The 22,450-nt window shown below is 39.5% G+C and overlaps 1 protein-coding gene and 2 pseudogenes across 8 annotated transcripts in view; 2 read left to right on the plus strand and 1 right to left on the minus strand.

Annotated features, from left to right (window-relative positions):
• EPS15 (epidermal growth factor receptor pathway substrate 15) overlaps positions 1 to 22,450 on the minus strand; it is a 165,004-nt gene that overhangs the window by 16,841 nt on the left and 125,713 nt on the right. The gene's annotated exons all lie outside the window — the stretch shown is intronic.
• Positions 1,099 to 2,297, plus strand: PSMD7P2 (PSMD7 pseudogene 2; annotated as a pseudogene).
• Positions 11,205 to 11,311, plus strand: RNU6-877P (RNA, U6 small nuclear 877, pseudogene; annotated as a pseudogene).

Raw genomic sequence — 22,450 nt, forward strand, 5'->3', positions numbered from 1 at the left:
AGATTGAGTTTCACCATGTTGGCCAGGCTGGTCTCGAACTCCCAACCTCAATCCACCCACCGTGGCCTCTCAAAGTGCTGGGATTACAGGTGTGAGCCACTGTGCCTGGCCAATCGTTATTTTAGTGTTCACCTTCTACATATACAACAAATAAGTTAATTGAAAAAGAGCCTCAGGCAGGTCCTTCAGGAGATATACCAGAAGAAGGCATTGTTATCGTAAGAGATGACAGCTTCATGTGTTTGACTGCCCCCAAAGACCTTCCAGGGGGACAAGATGTGGAGGTGGAAGACAGTGATATTGATGGTCCTGACCCCGTGCAGGCCTAGGCTCATGTTTGTTTGTGTATTAATTTTTTTTCCTTTTTTCTCTTTTGCATCTTACATTTAAGAAAAAAGTTTAAAAGTTAAAAAAAAAAAGAAAAAAAAAATTTAAAAGTAGGCAAAGTTTAGATATACAGAAAGAAAATATTTTTGTACAGCTGTATAGTGTTTTAAACTAAAGGTTTATTACAAGAGTCAAAAAGTTCAAAAATTTTTTAAAGTTTTAGAAAGTTAAAAAGTTACAGTAAGATAAGGTTAATTTATTATTGAAGAAAAATGTTTTTTATAAATTTAGTGTAGTGCAAGTGTACAGTGTTTATAAAGTTTACAACAATGTACAGTGATGTCTTGGGCCTTCACATTCACTATTACTTGACTCACTGACTCACCCAGAGCAACTTCCAGCCCCGCAAGCTCCGTTCATGGTTAAGTGTCCTATACAGATGTACCATTTCTATTTTCTATACTGAATTTTTACTCTATGTTTAGATACATAAATACTTACCATTGCGTTACAACTGCCTACAGTATTCAGTATAGTATTCAAGGCTGTACAAGTTTGAAGCCTAGGAGCAATAGGCTATATGACGAATAGCCTAGGTTGTGTAGTAAGCTACACCATCCAGGTTGTGTCAGTACACTTTCTGATGTTCCCCTAACCACACATTTCTCACATTTTCCCATCATTAAGCAATGCATGACTATACATAAATTCATACCTGCCCATGCACACACATTTTTTTCATTAAAAAATTAAGTAGTCTTCACAGGAGTTGCTGCTACTGCTGGAGTTTGTGGGTTGCAGGGAGCTAGGCCTAGTGGGCGGTGTGTGTCAAGATGTCAGAGCTGGCAGTGCAGAAGGCAGTGGTCCACCTTCCGGTGCTGCTCAGTGTGGTGGATCATTTCAACCGAATCAGCAAGGTTGGAAACCAGCAGTGCATTGTTGGTGTGCTTTTGGGGTCATGGCAGACAAAAGTACTTGATGTATCCAACAGTTCTGGAGTCCCTTTTGATGAAGATGACAAAAATCATTCTGTCTGGTTTTTAGACCATGATTATTTGGAAAACATGTATGGAATGTTTAAGAAAATTAATGCCAAAGAATAGTTGGGTGGTACCACACAGGCCCTAAACTACACAAGAGTAACATTGCCATCAATGAACTCAAGAAAAGACACTAACCTAACTCAGTATTGGTATTACTGACTGAAACTAAAGGATCTGGGGCTGCCCACAGAAGCATATATTTCAGTGAGAGAAGTCCATGATGATGGTGCTCCAACCTCAAAAACATTTGAGCATGTGGCTAATGAAACTGGAGCAGAGGAAGCTGAGGCAGCTGGAGCTGAACACTTGTTACAAGACATCAAAGATGCTACAGTGGACAGTCTTTACCAGCTGATCACAAAGAGGTCCATGGTTTGAGGAGGCTGAACTCCAAGCTTCTGGATATCAGGAGCTACCTGGAAAAAACAGCCACAGGCAAGCTGCCAATCAACCACCAGATCATTAGCTGCAGGAAGTCTTCAATCTGCTGCCAGACATCAGCCTGCAGCAGTCTGTCAAGGCCTTGTACCTGAAGATCAACGACCAAATGGCAGTGGGGTACTCTGCCTCCCTGACACATTCCATAGTTGCCCTACACAACTTCATCAACAACAAGATTGCCAATCAGGATGTAGAGAAGAAAGAAGGGCAGGAAACAGAAGGGAGCAAAAAGGATAGAAAAGATGACAAAGAGTAAGATATAGATAAGGAAAAGAGTGATGTGAAGAAAGAAAAGAAAAAGGAGAAAAAGTTAAAGATGCAGCTTTTTAAATTTGTAAATTAAAATCTTATAAACTAAACCAGTATGTCACTAGAAGGTTCTTGTTAAAAAGCTGTCCTGATTAGAGCTCTATGCCTCGGGTCACTCTTGAATGGATAGAGGGACTGATCTCAAACCTAAACTGCAGCATCAGCTGCTATGAGTTGAGGATAAGATAGCTCAGGCTTCAGATTGTATGAGAAAAATGAAGAGAATTCAACATAACATTTTTGGTACTCCTCATTCTTCTATTTATAAAACCAGGAGTTGAATTATCCCCATCTTCAAAGACTCCTGGGGTGTATTTCTGGTCTCATGGGGGCTGCTAAATGGAATGCACGAATTTCATGTGTTCTCTGCCTCATAACACCTTGAGTTCTGACCCTTCTGAACTCTGCTGAGAATAGTGCATCATGTTTTGGACCTGTAGTTCTGGCATTCTCAGGATTTGGGATCCAGTTCCACATATTATTTACCTTCAAAGACACAATTAAATGGCTTGAGGTCAGGAGTTCGAGACCAGCCTGGCCAACATGGTGAAACCCTGTCTCTACTAAAAATACAAAAATTAGCCAGGCGTGGTGGTGCACGCCTGTAATCTCAGCTACTTGGGAGGCTGAGGCAGGAGAATCACTTGAACCCAGGAGATGGAGGTCGCAGTGAGCCGAGATTGCACCACTGCACTCCAGCCTGGGTGAACAGAGCAAGACTCCGTCTCCAAAAAAAATTAAGTGAACTTGAAGGACAGTCACAGCTTGTGGTTTCTGGAAATGATGAAAATTAAGAGAAGAAATATGAAAGAAAGCAGAGGCTAAGTAAATACATGAACACATATACGTTTAGCCTGAGTCATTGCCTGTAAAAAGGAAAACCTACTGGGTATTTTACTCCTGCTGGAGTCAAAGATGCTCTAGGGAGATCATGAGCTCCCTTCTATATCCTCAGGATGTTATAAAGATTTAATTAACAGTTGGGAAGTTCTGCATTTTCTGTCAGGAGTTAGTAAAATATTCCACACAAAAAAATTTCTGGCACTTAAACTAATCTCACAATAAAATGGAAAAATAATTTTTATAAAGTACATGTAGAAAGTAAGTATCCTGCCGGGTACGGTTGCTCATGCCTGTAATCCCAGCACTTTGGGAGGCTAAGGCGGGTGGATCACCTGAGGTCAGGGCTTCGAGACCAGCCTGGCCAACGTCTTTACTAAAAATACAAAAATTAGCCGGGCGTGGTGGCGGATGCCTGTAATCTCAGCTACTCGGGAGGGTGAGGCAGGAGAATCGCTTGAACCTGGGAGGCGGAGGTTGCAGTGAGCTGAGATTGCGCCATTGCACTCCAGCTCAGGCAACAAGAGCAAAACTCTGTCTCCAAAACAAAACAAACAAACAAAAAAACCCAGTAAGAATTCTAAATTTGCTTTCCTTAGTTTTCTTTCACAGTCTGCAATGTGTCTATTCACCAGAAGCAAATGCTAACAAGATCTCAATGTGAGGCAAAATATTTAACATACCTTTTTTGAGATGGAGTCTCGCTCTGTTGCTCAGGCGAGCAACATCTCTCAGGTTCAAGAGATTCTCCTGCCTCAGCCTCCCAAGTAGCTGGAATTACAGGTGCATGCCACCATGCCCAGCTAATTTTTGAATTTTTAGTAGCCATGTTGGCCAGGCTGGTCTCAAACTCCTGTCTGCCTCGGCCTCCCAAAGTGCTGGAATTACAGGTGTAAGCCACCTCGCCCAGCCATAAAATATTTAATATACTTCTTTTTTTTTTTTTTTTTTTTTTTGAGATGGAGTCTTGCTCTGTCGCCCAGGCTGGAGTGCAGTGGTGCGATCTTGGCTCACTGCAAGCTCTGCCTCCTCGGTTCACGCCATTCTCCTGCCTCAGCCTCCCAAGTAGCTGGGACTACAGGTGCCCGCCACCACGCCCGGCTAATTTTTTGTATTTTTAGTAGAGACAGGGTTTCACTGTGTTAGCTAGGATGGTCTCAATCTCCTGACCTTGTGATCCACCTGCCTCGGCCTCCCAAACTGCTGGGATTACAGGCGTGAGCCACCGCGCCCGACTATATTTAATATGCTTCTATCCCTATGATAACAAGTATATTTTAGAGGTTGGAGTAGAGTTATATATAACATTTAAGAACAAAAATTTACTGGCATGTTTTTATTTATTTTGAAAGCTTAACAATTCCCCTGTTCCGTAGGATCAATCTTTTTGCCTGGTGGAATTCTACCTAGTGGAAGAAAATAATAAGGGTAGAAGGGTACCAGTAAGGTGGGTAAATGTCTTGTGTTTGTGACTTGGGTATGTAACATCACCTCTCAGAATCTCAGTAGTTTCCAGAAGTTGGGATTTTATGAACAAGTAAACTAATTAAATAAATACATTAAAAACCTATATACATATCTCTTTTTCCCCATATAAAGTTTAAAAGATATTTAGGAACCACTGACCTGAATGACCTATATAATAATAACTAATTCTCCTTCTCCATATTCTCATAATTAAAAGTTTTCATGTCAAGTGGAATTACATTTAAGAAGACAATGTAGGAAAAGACTTACGTTGTAACTAAAAACAAAACAAAACAAACAAACCAACATAAATACATAAATAGGGCAAGAACAGGTTTGCCAACTTAACCATAGGAACTGAAAAAAACAGTCCATTCTTCATTTCACAAACAAAAGGATTTTAAAAAGAAGAAAAACAAACTTAGCAAGTACTGATACAGAAGTTGCAGCAAGTTATCCAGAAGTCTAGCTTAGATAATTGATCTATAAAGGTGGCTACACTAAACAACAGATTTTCAATGTAGACAAAGCAGTCTTCTACTGGAAGAAAATGCCATCTACAACTGTCATAGCTAAAGAGAAGTCAATGTCTGGCTTTGAAGCATCAAAGGACAGGTTGAGTCTCCTATGGGGCTAATGCAGCTGTGGCAACTTTTAAGTTGAAGCCAATGCTCATTGACCATTCTGAAAATCCTAAGGCCCCTATGAATTAAGATAAATTGACAGTAGAAATAAAATAACAAAGCCTGGATGACAGCACAGCTGTTTATGGCATGTTTTACTGAATATTTTAAGCCCATTGTTGGGATCCACTGCTCAGATAAGAGATTTCTTTCAAAATACTCCTGCTAGGCTGGGCACTGTGGCTCACGTCTGTAATCCCAGTACTTTTGGAGGCCAAGGCGGGCAGATCACTTGAGGTCAGGAGTTCGAGACCAGCCTGGCCAACATGGTGAAATCCTGTCTCTACTAAAAATACAAAAATCAGCCGTGTGTGGTGGCATGTGCCTGTAGTCCCAGCTACTTGGGAGGCTGAGGCAGGAGAATTGCTTGAACCTGGGAGGCAGAGGTTGTGGTGAGCTGAGATTGCACCACTGTGCTCCAGCCTGGGCAACAGAGGGAGACTGTCTCAAAACAAACAAACAAACAAAAAAACCCAAAAATCTGCTCACTGACAATGCACCTAAGTCACCCAGAGCTCTGATGAAGATGTATAAGGAGATGAATGTTGTTTTCATGCCTGCTAACACAACATCCATTCTTGCAGCCAGGCAGTAATTCTTGCAAATCAAGGAGTAATTTTGACTTTCTAGTTTTATTATTTAAGAAATACACTTTATAAGGCTATAGCTGCCATAGACAGCCATTCCTCTGATGGATTTGGGCAAAGTACACTGAAAACCTCCTGGGAAGGATTCACCATTCTAGATGCTATTAAGAACAATGTGACTCAGGCCGGGTGTAGTGGCTCACGCTTGTAATCCCAGCACTTTGGGAGGCTGAGGCGGGGTGGATCGCCTGAGGTCAGCAGTTCGAGACCAGCCTGGCCAACACAGTGAAACCCTGTCTCTACTAAAAATACAAAAAATTAGCTGAGCGTGGTGGCGGGCGTAATCTCAGCTACTTGGAAGGCTGAGGCAGGAAAATCATTTGAACCCAAGAGGCGGAAGTTGCAATGAGCCGAGACAGCTCCATTGCACTCCAGCCTGGGCAACAAGAGTGAAACTCCGTCTCAAACAAAACAAAACAAAAACAGTGTGACTCATGGAAGGAGGTGAAAATAGCAATAGTAAGAGGACTTTGAAAGAAGTTACATCCAACCGTCATGTATTACTGATGGATTCAAGACTTCAGTGGAGGAAGTAACTGCAGACGTGGTACAAATTAGTAAGGGAACTTCAATTAGAAGTAGAGCCTGATGATGTGACTGAATTGCTGAAATCTCATGATAAAACTGGAACCAAAGAGGAGTTGCCTCTACAGATAAGAAAGTGATTTCTTGAGATAGAATGTACTCCTGGTGAAGATGCTGTGAACATTGTTAAAATGAGAACAATGGATTTAGAATATTACATAAATTTAGTTCGTGAAGCAGTGGCAGGATCTAAAAGGACGGATACCAATTTTCAAAGACTATCTTGTGTGGGTAAAAGGCTATCGAACAGTGTCACATGCTAAAAGAAATCGTACAGGAAAGGAAGAGTCAATTGATGTGACAAACTTCAGTGTTATTTTAAGAAATCGCCACAGGCACCCCAACCTTCAGCAGCTAACACCTTGATCAGTCGGCAGCCACCAATATCGAGGCAAGATTCTCCACCACCAAGAAGATTACAATTTGTTGAAGGCTCAAATAATCATTAGCTTTTTTTTTTTTTTTTTGAGATGGAGTTTCACTCTTGTTGCCCAGGCTGGAGTGTAATGGCACTATCTCAGCTCACTGCAACCTCAGCCTCCTGGGTTCAAGCAATTCTCCTGCCTCAGCCTCCCAAGTAGCTGGGATTACAGGCACCCGCCACCACGCCTGGCTAATTTTTTGTATTTTTAGTAGAGACGTGGTTTCACCATGTTGCGCAGGCTGGTCTTGAACTCCTGACCTCAGGTGATTCACCCACCCCGGCCTCCCAAAGTGCTGGGATTACAGGTGTGAGCCACTGTGCCCGATCATTAGCATTTTTTTTTTTTAAAGCAATGAAGCATTTTCTAATTAAGACACGTGCATTTTTTAGACATGTTACTGCACACTTAATAGACCAGAGTATAGTGAAAACAGAACTTTTATATGTGACTTCTTTTATTGCAATATTTGCTTTATTGTGGTGGTATGGAAAAGAACCCATGCTGGGCCAGGTGCAGCGGCTCACACCTGTAATCCTAGCACTTTAGGAGACTGAGGTGGGAGGACTGCTTGAGCCCAGGAATTCAAGACCAGCCTGGGTTCCTAAAACAAAACCAAACCATAATGTCTCCAAGGTATGGCTGTACTTGATTTTGGTTTCTCCATCTAAAAAAATCTAATTCATCCAAGGAAGGAGTTGTAAGATACACATTTTAAAACAAGAATTTTGCATTCTCAGAGTAGTTGACAGCACTTTAAAGCACCAATGCACTCTAATTTGTTAAAATTTGGATAATAATATATACGAATACATATAATTAACGAGATGTAGTTCTTAAAAGTTCAAAGACACTTTAAAAATACGTAACTAAAATTTGCCAACTTCCTGAAGACCTCTCTGGAAGTTAGTTTTGTGGAAGGTAATATGAAATTCTGGCCCACAGGATGTCTAAGGTTTCTTCCAGCTCTAAGTTTGAGGGGAAAAAAAAGAACAATGGAGACACCCCCACACTAATCTTTATACCGGAAAGAAAGAGGCAGAGAGCTTATTTGAAGAAATAATGGCCAAAACTCCCCAACTTTGAGGGAAGACATGGATATATAAAAAGGTCAACAAACTCCACGTAGGATAAACTCAAAAGAGTCCTATGCTGAGTTACATTATAATCAAACTGCTGAAAGACAGAAACAAAGATAGCACTGTGAAAGTAGTGAGAGAAAACTGACTCATCATGCAGAAGGGATCCTCAATAATTGTTTTTTTCTTTTTGGATGGAGTCTCGTTCTGTCACCCAGTCTGGAGTGCAATGCTGCCATCTTGGCTTACTGCAACCTCTGCCTCCCGGGTTCAAGTGATTCTCCCGCCTCAGCCTCTGGAGTAGCTAGGACTACAGGCGCAAGCCACCACGCCCGGATAATTTTTGTATTTTTAGTAGAGATGGAGTTTCATCATGTTGGCCAGGCTAGTCTCGAACTCCTGACCTCAAGTGATCCTCCCACCTCGGCCTCCCACAGTGTTGGGATTACAGGTATGAGCCACAGTGCCTGGCCAGGATCCTCAATAAAATTATCAGTGAATTTCTCAGCAGAAACCTTGAAGGGAGTAGGGGAATATATTGAAGGGTTCGAAAAAAACACTGTCAACTGAGAATTCTGTATCTGGTAAACTGTCCTTCACAAACAAGAGAGAAATTAAGATATTCCCAGATAAACAAAAACTGAATGGTTCATTACCACTAGACCTACTCTATAAGAAATGCTAAAGGGGCTGGGAGCAGTGGCTCATGCCTGTAATCCCAGCACTTTCGGAGGCCAAGGTGGGTGGATCACGTAAGGTCAGGAGTTTGAGACCAGCCTGGCCAACATGGTGAAACCCCATCTCTACTAAAAATACAAAAATTAGTGAGGCATGGCTGGGCGTGGTGGCTCATGCCTGTAATCCCAGCACTTTGGGAGGCCAAGGTGGACGGATCACTTGAGGTCAGGAGTTCAAGACCAGCCTGGCAAACACGGTGAGACTCCATCTCTGCTAAAGATACAAAAATTAGTGGGGCATGGTGGTGCGTGCCTGTAGTCCCAGCTACTTGGAAGGCTGAGGCAGGAGAACAACTTGAAGCGACAGGGGGAGGATGCAGTGAGCCAAGATCTTGCCACTGCATTCCAGCCTGGAGTGAGACTCTGCTTCCAGGAAAAAAAAAAAAAAAAATTAGTCGGGCATGGTGGTAGATGCCTGTAATCCCAGCAACTAGCGAGGCTGAAGCAGGAGAATCGCCTGAACCCAGGAGGCAGACGTTGCAGTGAGCCGAGACTGCGTCACTGCACTCCAGCCTGGGCAACAAGAGCAAAACTCTGCCTCAAAAAAAAAAAGGAAAAAAAAGAAATGCTAAAGGGAGTCATTCAAGTTGAAATGAAAGGATGTTAGACACCAAATGAAAATATAAAGTTTTCTCTGATAAAGGTAAATATCAACATATGGACAAATATAAAAAATAGTATTACTATAATACTGGCTCACAACTCAACTTTAGAAGTAAATTGTGACTTTCAACCACATAAAGTGGGGAGTGGAGCTGTAAAGGAGTGGTTTTGGATCCAACTGAAATTAAATCTTATCAGTTTAAAATAGACTGTTATAATTGTAGGATGTTTTGTGTAATCTCCATGAAACACAGAGAAAAGAGTAAAAGGAAATGAGGAGGGAATAAAAAATGTCACTACAAAAAATCAACTAAACATAAATGAAGACCGTAATAGAGGAAATAAGGGACATAAAACTATAGGACATACAGAAACAAACAGCAAAATGACAATAATAAGTCCTTCCCTATCAGTAATTACTTTAAATGTGAATGGATTAAACTCTCTAATGAAAAGACACAAACTGGTAGAAAAAAAATGCAAAACACAACTACATGCTGTATAAGAGAGATTCACTTTAGATCTAAGGACACACATAGTTTGAAAGGGAAAAGATGAAAAAAGATATTTCATGCAAATAGAATATCAAGAAAGCAGAGATATCTTAATATCAGAAAAAATAGACTTTAACTCTACAACTGTTACAAGAGACAAAGATGGACATTATACAATAAATAAAGGGTCAATTTACCAATATGATGTAACATTTATAAACATACATGCACCAAACATGCTTCTTCAATATATACATTAAACACTGACAGAACTGAAGGGAGAAACAGACAGCTCTACAGTAACAGTTGGAGACTTCAATATCTCACTTTCAATAAGGAGAGAGAGGACTTGAACAACACTTTAGATCAACTGGACCTAACAGATATATACAGAACACTCCACCCAACAATAGCAGAATACACATTTTCTCAAGTACATATCTAATGTTCTCCAAGACAGAACATACTTTAGGCCATAGAACAACTCTTAATGAATTTTAAAAAATTGAAATCATAAAAATATCTCTTCCAGCCAGGTGCGGTGGCTCATGCCTGTAATCCCAACACTTTGGGAGGCCGAGATGGGCAGGTCCCTTGAGATCAGGAGTTCGAGACCAGCCTGGCCAACATGGTGAAACCCCGTCTCTACTAAAAATACAAAAATGACACGGGCGTGGTGGTGGGCGCCTATAGTCCCAGCTACTTGTGAGGCTGAGGCAGGAGAATTGCTTGAACCCGGGAGGCAGAGGTTGCAGTGAGCTGAGATCGCGCCATTGCACCCCAGCCTGGGTGGCAGAACGAGGCTCTATCTCAAAATAAAAATAATAAATAAATTTATCTCTTCCAATTAAAACAGAATAAAACTAAAAATTAACAGCAGAAGCAAAACTAGACGACCTACAAATAGGTGGAAATTAAATATCACGCTCAACCAATTGGTCAAAGAAAAATCACAAAGAAAATTAGAAAATATCTTGAAACAAATGAAAATGGAAACACAGCATTACCAAAACTAACGGGATATAGCAGCAAAAGCTGTGCTGAGATAAACTTCTAACTATAAATACTTAAAAAAGAAGAGCTCAAATCAACAACCTAACTTTACACTGTAAAGGACCTAAAAAAAGAAAAGCAAGCTAAACTCAAAGCTAGCAGAAAGAAATGAATAATAAAAATTGGAGCAGAGACAACACAGAGAATAGAAAAATAGAGAAAATCAATAGAACCAAGAGTTTGTTCTTTGAAAAGATCAACAAAATTGACATTCCTAGATGGGCTAAGAAAACAAGACTCAATAACTAAAATCAGAAATGAAAGAGGAGACATTACTAGTAATTTCACAGAAATAAAAAGGATTGTTAACACAGTGCTATGAACAATTATACATCAACAAACTGAATAATATAAATGAGAAGAACAAATTCTGAGAAACACAAGTCATGGAGACTGAATCACAAAAACAAAGAAAATCTGAATTGACTCATAACTAATAAAGAGATTGAATCTGTAATCAAAAACCTTCCAACAGTGCTCACTTTAGCAGCACATATACTAAAACTAGAAAGATACAGGGAAGGTTAGCATGGCCCCTGTGCAAGGATAACATGCAAATTCTTGTGGCATTCCATATTTTTAATTTTTTTTTTTTTTTTTTTTGAGACAGAGTCTCGCTTTGTGGCCCAGGCTGGAGTGCAGTGGTGTAATCTCGGCTCACTGCAACCTCCACATCCCAGGTTCAAGAGATTCTCCTATCTCAGTCTCCTGAGTAGCTGGGATGACAGGCGCCCACCACCACGCCTGGCTCATTTTTGTATTTTTAGTAGAGATGGGGTTTCACCATGTTGGCCAGGCTGGTTTTGAACTCCTGACCTCAAGTGATCCACCCGCCTCAGCCTCCCAAAGTGCTGGGATTACAGGCGTGAGCCACTGTGCCCGGCCACCATTATTTTTAAAATTAACAAAACAAAACACCTCCCAACAAAGAAAAGCTCACGATTACATGACTTCACGGGTGAATTCTACCAAACATTTAAAGTATAATCAAAACCAGTCTCCCTCAAACTCTTCCAAAAAATTGAAGAGGCAGGAACAATTCCATACTCATTCTGTGAAGCCAGTATTACTCTGCTATCAAAGCCAGATGAAGACATATAGATGAGAAAAGAAAACTATAGATCAATATCCTTTATGAATATTTTTGTAAAAATCCTCAACAGAATTCAACAGCACATTAAAGGGATTATACACCATGTCCAAGTGGGATTTATTCCTGGAATATAAGAATGGTTCAACATACAAAAATCATTCAATGTAATACACCACATTAACAGAATGAGGGGAAAAATACAACACCAATCATTTCAATGGATGCAAAAAAAGTATTTGACAGAATTCAAAACCCTTTCATGATAAAAACACTCAACAAGCTAAGAACAGAAGGAAAACTACCTCAACTTAATAAAGGCTATATATGAAAAGCCAACAGTGAATATCACATTCAATCTTGAGAGGCTGAAACCATTTCTCTACAATAAGGAACAAGACAAGGATGCGTGCTCTTACCATTTCTACCACTTCTATTCAATATAGCAGCAGTTCTCAACCTTTCTGGCACCAGGGACCGGTTTTGTGGAAGACAATTTTTTTAGGACTTGGGGGTGGGATGAGGGGAATGATTTCAGGATGAAACTGTTCCACCTCAGATCATCAGGTGTTAGATTCTCATAAGGAGTGCACAACCTAGATCCCTCACATGTGCAGTTCACAATAAGGTTCAAGCTCCTATGAGAATCTAATGCTGCTGCTGATCTGACAGGAAGCGGAGCTCAGGCATTAGGTACTGCTCACTTGCCCATCACTCACCTCCTCCTGTGCAGCCTGGTTCCTAACAGGCCACAGACTGGTACTGGTCCGTGGCCCAGGGTTTGGGGATCCCTGCAATATAGTAGTGGAAGTCCTAGCCAAAGCACTTAGGCAAGAAAAAGAAATAAAAGGCATCCAGATTCAAAACAAAGAAATAAAATCTGTTTGCAAATAACATGCTCTTATATGTAGAAAACCCTAAAGATTCCACCAAAAAACAATTAGAACTAATAGTTGAATTTGGCACAGTAGCAGGATACAAAAATCAACATATGAAAATCAGTCATATTTCTATATACCAACAATGAACAATCTGGAAAGGAAATTAAGAAAACAATTCCATTTACAACAGCATCAAAAAGAATGAAATACTTGGGAATTAACCAAGGAGGACTTGTATACTGACAATACAATACATTCTGAAAGAAATTAAAGACACAAACAAATGGAAAGACATCCCATGTTCACAGATTAGAAGACTTAATATTTTTAAGTTGGTAATATTACCCAAAGATATCTACAGATTCAATGCAATCCCTATCAAAAATCCTAATGACTTTTTCTTTTGGCAGAAATAGAAAAATTCATCCTAAAATTCATATGGAATCTCAAGGAACCTGAATAGCCAAAGCAGTCTTTTTCTTTTTCTTTCTTTCTTTTTTTTTTTTTTTTTTTTGAGACAGGGTCTGGTTCTGTCACCCAGGCTACAGTGCAGTGGCATGATCTTGGCTCACTGTAATCTCTGCCTCCTCGGCTCAAGTGATCCTCCCACCTCAGCTTCCCAAGTAGCTGGGAGTACAGGTGCATGCCACTATGCCTGGCTAATTTTTGCATTTTTTTGTAGAGACAGAGTCTCACTATGTTGCCCAGGCTGGTCTTGAACTCCTGAACTCAGTCATTGGCCAGGCTGGTCTTGAACTCCTGAGCTCAGGCGATCCACCCACCTTGACCTCCCAAAGTGCTGGGATTACATGCATGAGCCACTGTGCCCAGCCCAAAGCAGTCTTAAAAAGGAACAACAAAGTTGGTAGTCAAACTTTCTGATTTCAAATCTTATTTCAAAGCTATAGTAATTAAAACAGTGAGGAACTGCATAAATACAAACCATATAGATCAATGGAACAGAATACAGAATCCAGAAATAAACCCTCACATATATGGTCAAATGATTTTCAAGAAACGTGCCAAGAACAAACAATGGAAAAAGGACGGTCTTCACAAGAAAAGATGATGGGAAAACTGAATATCCACATGCAAATGAATGAAGTTGGACTCTTACCTCACACAATATACAAAAATTAACTCAAAATGGATTAAATACCTAAATGTAAGAGCTAAAACTATAAAACTTATCGGGGAAATGCTTCCTGATATTGGATTTAGCAACGCTTTCTTGGTTATAACACTAAAAGCAAAGGCAACAACAACACAATAGATAAAATGAGCTACATCAAAATTAAAAACTTTTGTTCACCAACGGACAGTACTAACAGAATGAAAAGGTAACCCACAGGATGGGAGAAAATATTTGCAAATCATTTATCTGATAAGGGGTTAATATCTAGGATATATAAAAAATTCAACAAAAACAACCTGATTTAGAAATGGGCAGAGGACTTGAATAGGTATTTCTCCATAGAAGATATACAAATAGCCAATAAGCATATAAAAAAAGGCACTACATACTAATCATTAGGGAAATACAAATCAAAGCAATAAGATACCACTTCACACCCATTAGGATGCCTATAAAACAGAAAGTAGTAAGGGTTGGCAAAGATGTGGAAATACTGGAACCACTGTGAATTGTTGGCTGGTGTATAAAATGGTATGGCTGCTGTGGAGAATAGTATGATCATTTCTCAAAAAACTAAAAACAGCATTACCATATGATCCAGCAATTCTACTTTTAGAATTATACCCAAAAGAACTGAAAGCAGGGACTCAGATATCTGTACCCTCACATTCACAGTAGCATTATGCACACAAACAAAATGTGACGGCAACTAAGTGTCCATTAATGAATGAACAAATAAACAAAATGCAGTATATACATATAATAGAATATTATCAAGTCTGAAAAAGGTAAAAAATTCAATACATTATACCATATGGATGAACCTTGAGGACATTATGGTAAATGAAATAAGTCAATCACCAAAATATGAATTTTTTTTATGATTCCACTTATATGAAGTATGCAGAGTAGTAATGATGGTTGTTAGGGTTTGGTGAGAGGGAGGATAGGGAGTTATTATTTAATGGATACAGAATTTCAGTTCTGGAATATGAAAAAAGTTCTTGAGATGGATGGTGGTGATGATTGCACAACAATGTGAATGTACTTAATGCTCGTGAACTGTACATTTAAAAAAGGTTAAAATGCCAAACTTTATGTTATGTATATTTTACCACAATTTAAAAAAACTACTTATCATAACAAAATAAATAATGTCTACCCACTAGACTCCCATTACATGTTCTCTGAGAAGAGCAGCTGGCTCATTTTTTCATTCAATAACATACGCCCAGGCATATTTTCAGGTTCTTGGGTTATATCAGTGAAAACAAAGATCTCAATTCCTTCTGGAGCTTAATTTCTAATAGGATGAAAAGGAAACAGATAAGAGAAAAGTAAAGTAATTTATATAATAAGATGGAAAGTAAGTGACAATGAAAGAAGAAAAGTAGAGAATAGTAATGTGGGAGCACTGAGCTGGGTAGTGGTACTTGTAAATGTCAGACAGAGTGGCCTGAATAAGCTTCACTGAGAAGGTGATATCTGAATTAAGATTTGTCAGCGGTCAGCAGCATTTGCGGTTCAAGAAAATCCGCTGTTCTGCAGCCACCGCTGCTGATACCCAGGCAAACAGGGTCTGGAGTGGACCTCTAGCAAACTCCAACAGACCTGCAGCTGAGGGTCCTGTCTGTTAGAAGGAAAACTAACAAACAGAAAGGACATCCACACCAAAAACTCATCTGTACATCACCATCATCAAAGACCAAAAGTCGAGAACTACGTGAAGAATGCAGAAGCCTCAGCAGCCAATGCGATCAACTGGAAGAAAGGGTATCAGTGATGGAAGATGAAATGAATGAAATGAAGCAAGAAGGGAAGTTTAGAGAAAAAAGAATAAAAAGAAACGAACAAAGCCTCCAAGAAATATGGGACTATGTGAAAAGACCAAATCTACATCTGATTGGTGTACCTGAAAGTGACAGGGAGAATGGAACCAAGTTGGAAAACACTCTGCAGGATATTATCCAGGAGAACTTCCCCAATCTAGCAAGGCAGGCCAACATTCAGATTCAGGAAATACAGAGAACGACACAAAGATACTCCTCGAGAAGAGCAACTCCAAGACACTTAATTATCAGATTCACCAAAGTTGAAATGAAGGAAAAAAGGTTAAGGGCAGCCAGAGAGAAAGGTCGGGTTACCCACAAAGGGAAGCCCATCAGACTAACAGCGGATCTCTTGGCAGAAACTCCACAAGCCAGAAGAGAGTGGGGGCCAATGTTCAACATTCTTAAAGAAAAGAATTTTCAACCCAGAATTTCATATCCAGCCAAACTAAGCTTCATAAGTGAAGGAGAAATAAAATACTTTACAGACAAGCAAATGCTGAGAGATTTTGTCACCACCAGACCTGCCCTAAAAGAGCTCCTGAAGGAAGCACTAAACATGGAAAGGAACAACCAGTACCAGCCACTGCAAAATCATGCCAAATTGTAAAGACCATCGAGACTAGGAAGAAACTGCATCAACTAATGAGCAAAATCACCAGCTAACATCATAACGACAGGATCAAATTCACACATAACAATATTAACTTTAAATGTAAATGGACTAAATGCTCCAATTAAAAGACACAGACTGGCAAGTTGGATAAAGAGTCAAGACCCATTAGTGTGCTGTATTCAGGAAACCCATCTCACGTGCAGAGACACACATAGGCTCAAAATAGAAGGATGGAGGAAGATCTACCAAGCAAATGGAAAACAAAAAAAGGCAGGGGTTGCAATCTTAGTCTCTGATAAAACAGACTTTAAACCAACAAAGATCAAAAGAGACAAAGAAGGCCATTACATAATGGTAAAGGGATCAATTCAACAAGAAGAGCTAACTATCCTAAGTATATATGCACCCAATACAGGAGCACCCAGATTCATAAAGCAAGTCCTTAGAGACCTACAAAGAGACTTAGACTCCCACACAATAATAATGGGAGACTTTAACACCCCACTGTTAACATTAGACAGATCAATGAGACAGAAAGTTAAAAAGGATATCCAGGAATTGAACTCAGCTCTGCACCAAGCAGACCTAATAGACATCTACAGAACTCTCCACCACAAATCAACAGAATATACATTATTTTCAGCACCACACCACACCTATTCCAAAATTGACCATGTAGTTGGAAGTAAAGCTCTCCTCAGCAAATGTAAAAGAACAGAAATTATAACAAACTGTCTCTCAGACCACAGTGCAATCAAACTAGAACTCAGGATTAAGAAACTCACTCAAAACCACTCAACTACATGGAAACTGAACAACCTGCTCCTGAATGACTACTGGGTACATAACGAAATGAAGGCAGAAATAAAGATCTTCTTTGAAACCAACGAGCACAAAGACACAACATACCAGAATCTCTGGGACACATTCAAAGCAGTGTGTAGAGGGAAATTTATAGCACTAAATGCCCACAAGACAAAGCAGGAAAGATCCAAAATTGACACCCTAACATCACAATTAAAAGAATTAGAAAAGCAAGAGCAAACACATTCAAAAGCTAGCAGAAGGCAAGAAATAACTAAAATCAGAGCAGAACTGAAGGAAACAGACAAAAAAGCCCTTCAAAATATTAATGAATCCAGGAGCTGGTTTTTTGAAAGGATCAACGAAATTGATAGACCGCTAGCAAGACTAATAAAGAAAAAAAGAGAGAAGAATCAAATAGACGCAATAAAAACTGATAAAGGGGATATCACCACCGATCCCACAGAAATACAAACTACCATCAGAGAATACTACAAACACCTCTATGCAAATAAACTAGAAAATCTAGAAGAAATGGATAAATTCCTCGACACATACACCCTCCCAAGACTAAACCAGGAAGAAGTTGACTCTCTGAATAGACCAATAACAGACTCTGAAATTGTGGCAATAATCAATAGCTTACCAACCAAAAAGAGTCCAGGACCAGATGGATTCACAGCCGAATTCTACCAGAGGTACAAGGAGGAACTGGTACCATTCCTTCTGAAACTATTCCAATCAACAGAAAAAGAGGGAATCCTCCCTAACTCATTTTATGAGGCCAGCATCATCCTGATACCAAAGCCAGGCAGAGATGCAACCAAAAAAGAGAATTTTAGACCAATATCCTTGATGAACATTGATGCAAAAATCCTCAATCAAATACTGGCAAACCGAATCCAGCAGCACATCAAAAAGCTTATCCACCATGATCAAGTGGGCTTCATCCCTGGGATGCAAGGCTGGTTCAATATATGCCAATCAATAAATGTAATCCAGCATATAAACAGAACCAAAGACAAAAACCACATGATTATCTCAATAGATGCAGAAAAGGCCTTTGACAAAATTCAACAACCCTTCATGCTAAAAATTCTCAATAAATTAGGTATTGATGGGACGTATCTCAAAATAATAAGAGCTATCTATGACAAACCCACAGCCAATATCATACTGAATGGGCAAAAACTGCAAGCATTCCCCTTGAAAACTGGCACAAGACAGGGATGCCCTCTCTCACCACTCCTATTCAACACAGTGTTGGAAGTTCTGGCCAGGGCCATTAGGCAGGAGAAGGAAATAAAGGGTATTCAATTAGGAAAAGAGGAAATCAAATTGTCCCTGTTTGCAGATGACATGATTATATATCTAGAAAACCCCACTGTCTCAGCCCAAAATCTCCTTAAGCTGATAAGCAACTTCAGCAAAGTCTCAGGATACAAAATCAATGTATAAAAATCACAAGCATTCTTATACACCAATAACAGACAGAGAGCCAAATCATGAGTGAACTCTCATTCACAATTGCTTCAAAGAGAATAAAATACCTAGGAATCCAACTTACAAGGGACATGAGGGACCTCTTCAAGGAGAACTACAAACCACTGCTCAATGAAATAAAAGAGGATACAAACAAATGGAAGAACATTCCATGTTCATGGGTAGGAAGAATCAATATCGTGAAAATGGCCATACTGCCCAAGGTAATTTATAGATTCAATGCCATCCCCATCAAGCTACCAATGACTTTCTTCACAGAATTGGAAAAAACTACTTTAAAATTCATATGGAACCAAAAAAGAGCCTGCATCGCCAAGTCAATCCTAAGCCAAAAGAACAAAGCTGGCAGCATCAAATACCTGACTTCAAACTATACTACAAGGCTACAGTAACCAAAACAGCATGGTACTGGTACCAAAACAGAGATATAGATCAATGGAACAGAACAGAGCCCTTAGAAATAACGCCGCATATCTACAACTATCTGATCTTTGACAAACCTGAGAAAAACAAGCAATGAGGAAAGGATTCCCTATTTAATAAATGGTGCTGGGAAAACTGGCTAGCCATATGTAGAAAGCTGAAACTGGATCCCTTCCTTACACCTTATACAAAAATTAATTCAAGATGGATTAAAGACTTAAACGTTAGACCTAAAACCATAAAAACCCTAGAAGAAAACCTAGGCATCACCATTCAGGACATAGGCATGGGCAAGGACTTCATGTCTAAAACACCAAAAGCAATGACAACAGAAGCCAAAATTGACAAATGGGATCTCATTAAACTAAAGAGCTTCTGCACAGCAAAAGAAACTACCATCAGAGTGAACAGGCAACCTACAAAATGGGAGAAAATTTTTGCAACCTACTCATCTGACAAAGGGCTAATATCCAGAATCTACAATGAACTCAAACAAATTTACAAGAAAAAAAAAACAACCCCATCAAAAAGTGGATGAAGGATATGAACAGACACTTCTCCAAAGAAGACATTTATGCAGCCAACAGACACGTGAAAAAATGCTCATCATCACTGGCCATCAGAGAAATGCAAATCAAAACCACAATGAGATACCATCTCACACCAGTTAGAATGGCAATCATTAAAAAGTCAGGAAACAACAGGTGCTGGAGAGGATATGGAGAAACAGGAACATTTTTACACTGTTGGTGGGACTGTCAACTAGTTCAACCATGTGGAATTCAGTGTGGCAATTCCTCAGGGATCTAGAACTAGAAATACCATTTGACCCAGCCATCCCATTACTGGGTATATACCCAAAGGACTATAAATCATGCTGCTATAAAGACACATGCACACGTATATTTATTGCAGCACTATTCACAATAGCAAAGACTTGGAACCAACCCAAATGTCCATCAATGATAGACTGGATTAAGAAAATGTGGCACATATACACCATGGAATACTATGGAGCCATAAAAAATGATGAGTTCATGTCCTTTGTAGGGACATGGATGAAACTGGAAATCATCATTCTCAGTAAACTATCACAAGGACAAAAAACCAAACACCGCATGTTCTCACTCATAGGTGGGAATTGAACAATGAGAACACATGGACACAGGAAGGGGAACATCACACACCATGGCCTTTCGTGGGTTGGGGGGAAGGGGGAGGGATAGCATTAGGAGATATACCTAATGCTAAATGACGAGTTAATGGGTGCAGCACACCAGCATGGCACATGTATACATATGTAACTAACCTGCACATTGTGCACATGTACCCTAAAACTTTAATAAAATAAAATAAAATAAAATAAAATAAAATAAAATAAAAGATTTGTCAGAGGTAGTAGAGATTATCATGTGAACATACGGAGAAGGATCATCCCAGGAAGAGGGAACAGCTAGTGCAAAGGGCCAAAGAACATGGGTCTGTTGTTTGAGCAGCAGCAAGAAGACCAGTGTGGCTGGAGCAGAGTGAGTAATGGGAATAATGATGAGATATTGTTAGAAAAGTGCAGGCCACTGTAAGGCTTTTACTGGATATAATTTGAAGGTAGAGTCAATAAGATTTCCTGACAGATTAGAGACAGAGGAAGAGCAAAAGAAGAACCAAGGATGATTCTAAGATTTTAGGCCTGGACAACATTAAAGATGAACCATGAAGATGTCGAAGGTGCCAAGAAAAGCAGGTTTAGGAAGGAAAAATAGCTGCTTTGTGTTAGACTTATGCATTAGATATATCTATCAGACATTCAAGTGGAGATGCCAAATAAATAGCTGGAAAAATGAGCCTGGGGTTCAGGAAAGAGATGTGACTAGAGATATAGATCAGTGTATCAGTAGTATTTGAAGCCACAGATGAGTTCCCCCAAGGGAGTACAGATAAAAAAGAAAAGAGGTCCAAGGACTAAGACTTGGGACAACACAATATTAAGAGGTTGAGAAAAAGAGGAAATATCAACAAAGGAGATTAAAGAAAGAATGACCAAAGAGGCAGGTGGAAAACCAGAGACCTCATTTGAATTGGATACATCTAATACTACTACTTTAACCTTCTGAAAACTGTTTCATCTCTCCATGCCTGGATTTTCCTTGTCTGTATAATAAACATAATACAAATAATCTAACGTAGTTGTTGTGAGAATTAAATGGGACCAAGTAGAGAAAAATGATTAGCATGTTGACTGCTGGAACTCTGCAAGTGTTCAATAAATAGTAGCCATTATTATTACAATTAATGATAAATCTTTGCACCCTCCTAGGCTATTATCATCATTTATTCTACCACTTTACAGGAAATGAATTAGGAACTGGAATTTAAGCAGAAGATCAACAGAGGTATTAGAAATCTTTAATGTAACACTGTAACCTACCACTTCAGCCTTGACTATTCCTCTATCTTGCAAAAAAAAGAGAAATAGCTCTTGCAAAAATGTGTTAGTTTTTCCTTGAATATGCCCTATATGTTCTGCCTCCATTCCTTGTTCACATTGTTCTTTTTGCTCCACATAATCTCTTTCCATATTTACCTGCTAAAATACTAGCCCATGCTTTCAAGGCATACCACAAAAGCCACATTCCACTTTGATATCATTAATGATTTATCCTTAACGTGATCTCCCCTTCCTTTAATCTCTGCTGGTTTAATTAACTCTTATGGCACTTACCATTTCCTTGGTGTGGGCAATCATAAACGTATTAACCTTTCATTTTATTCTCTTAGGTTATCCTTTTTAATTCTATAGTACCCCTAGCAATATAATCAGCTTAATAATGAGGGTATAAAAAGAGCACATGTACTTAAAAAATATGTAATTTAACCACTGTTAATACAATAAGCCTTTTAGAAGTCTCACTTGCTCTCATTCTAAGTTTCTATTTAAATCAATATCCAGCCTACATTAAATCTTATTTTCTACATATCTCCTTTTTGTATTCCTCACTCTTGCTACTCATGTTGGGAGTTAATTTCCAACCCGAAAACAATGCACTCTGCTAAATCTCATCTTGTTACAATTTGTTCATTATAAGAAACCCAACCTGTTTTTTAGAGCCAGCCTTTTTTTTGGAGACAGAGTCTCACTCTGTTGCCCAGGCTGGCGTGCAATGGCACAATCTCAGCTCATTGCAACCTCCGCCTTCTGGCAATTCTCCTGCCTCAGCCTCCCAAGTAGCTGGGATTATAGGCACCCACCACCATACCTGGCTAATTTTTGCATTTTTAGTGGAGACGGGGTTTCACCATGTTGGCCAGGCTGGTCTCGACCTCAAGTGATCTACCTGCCTTGGTTTCCCAAAATGCTGGGATTACAGGCGTGAGCCACCGGGCCCAGGCTCCTGTAAAGGCATTTCTACTATTCTTTTTCTATGTTCATAATCCTTAATTA

The sequence above is a fragment of the Homo sapiens genome, chromosome 1, assembly GCF_000001405.40.
Source record: "Homo sapiens chromosome 1, GRCh38.p14 Primary Assembly".
Classification (NCBI taxonomy): domain Eukaryota; kingdom Metazoa; phylum Chordata; class Mammalia; order Primates; family Hominidae; genus Homo; species Homo sapiens.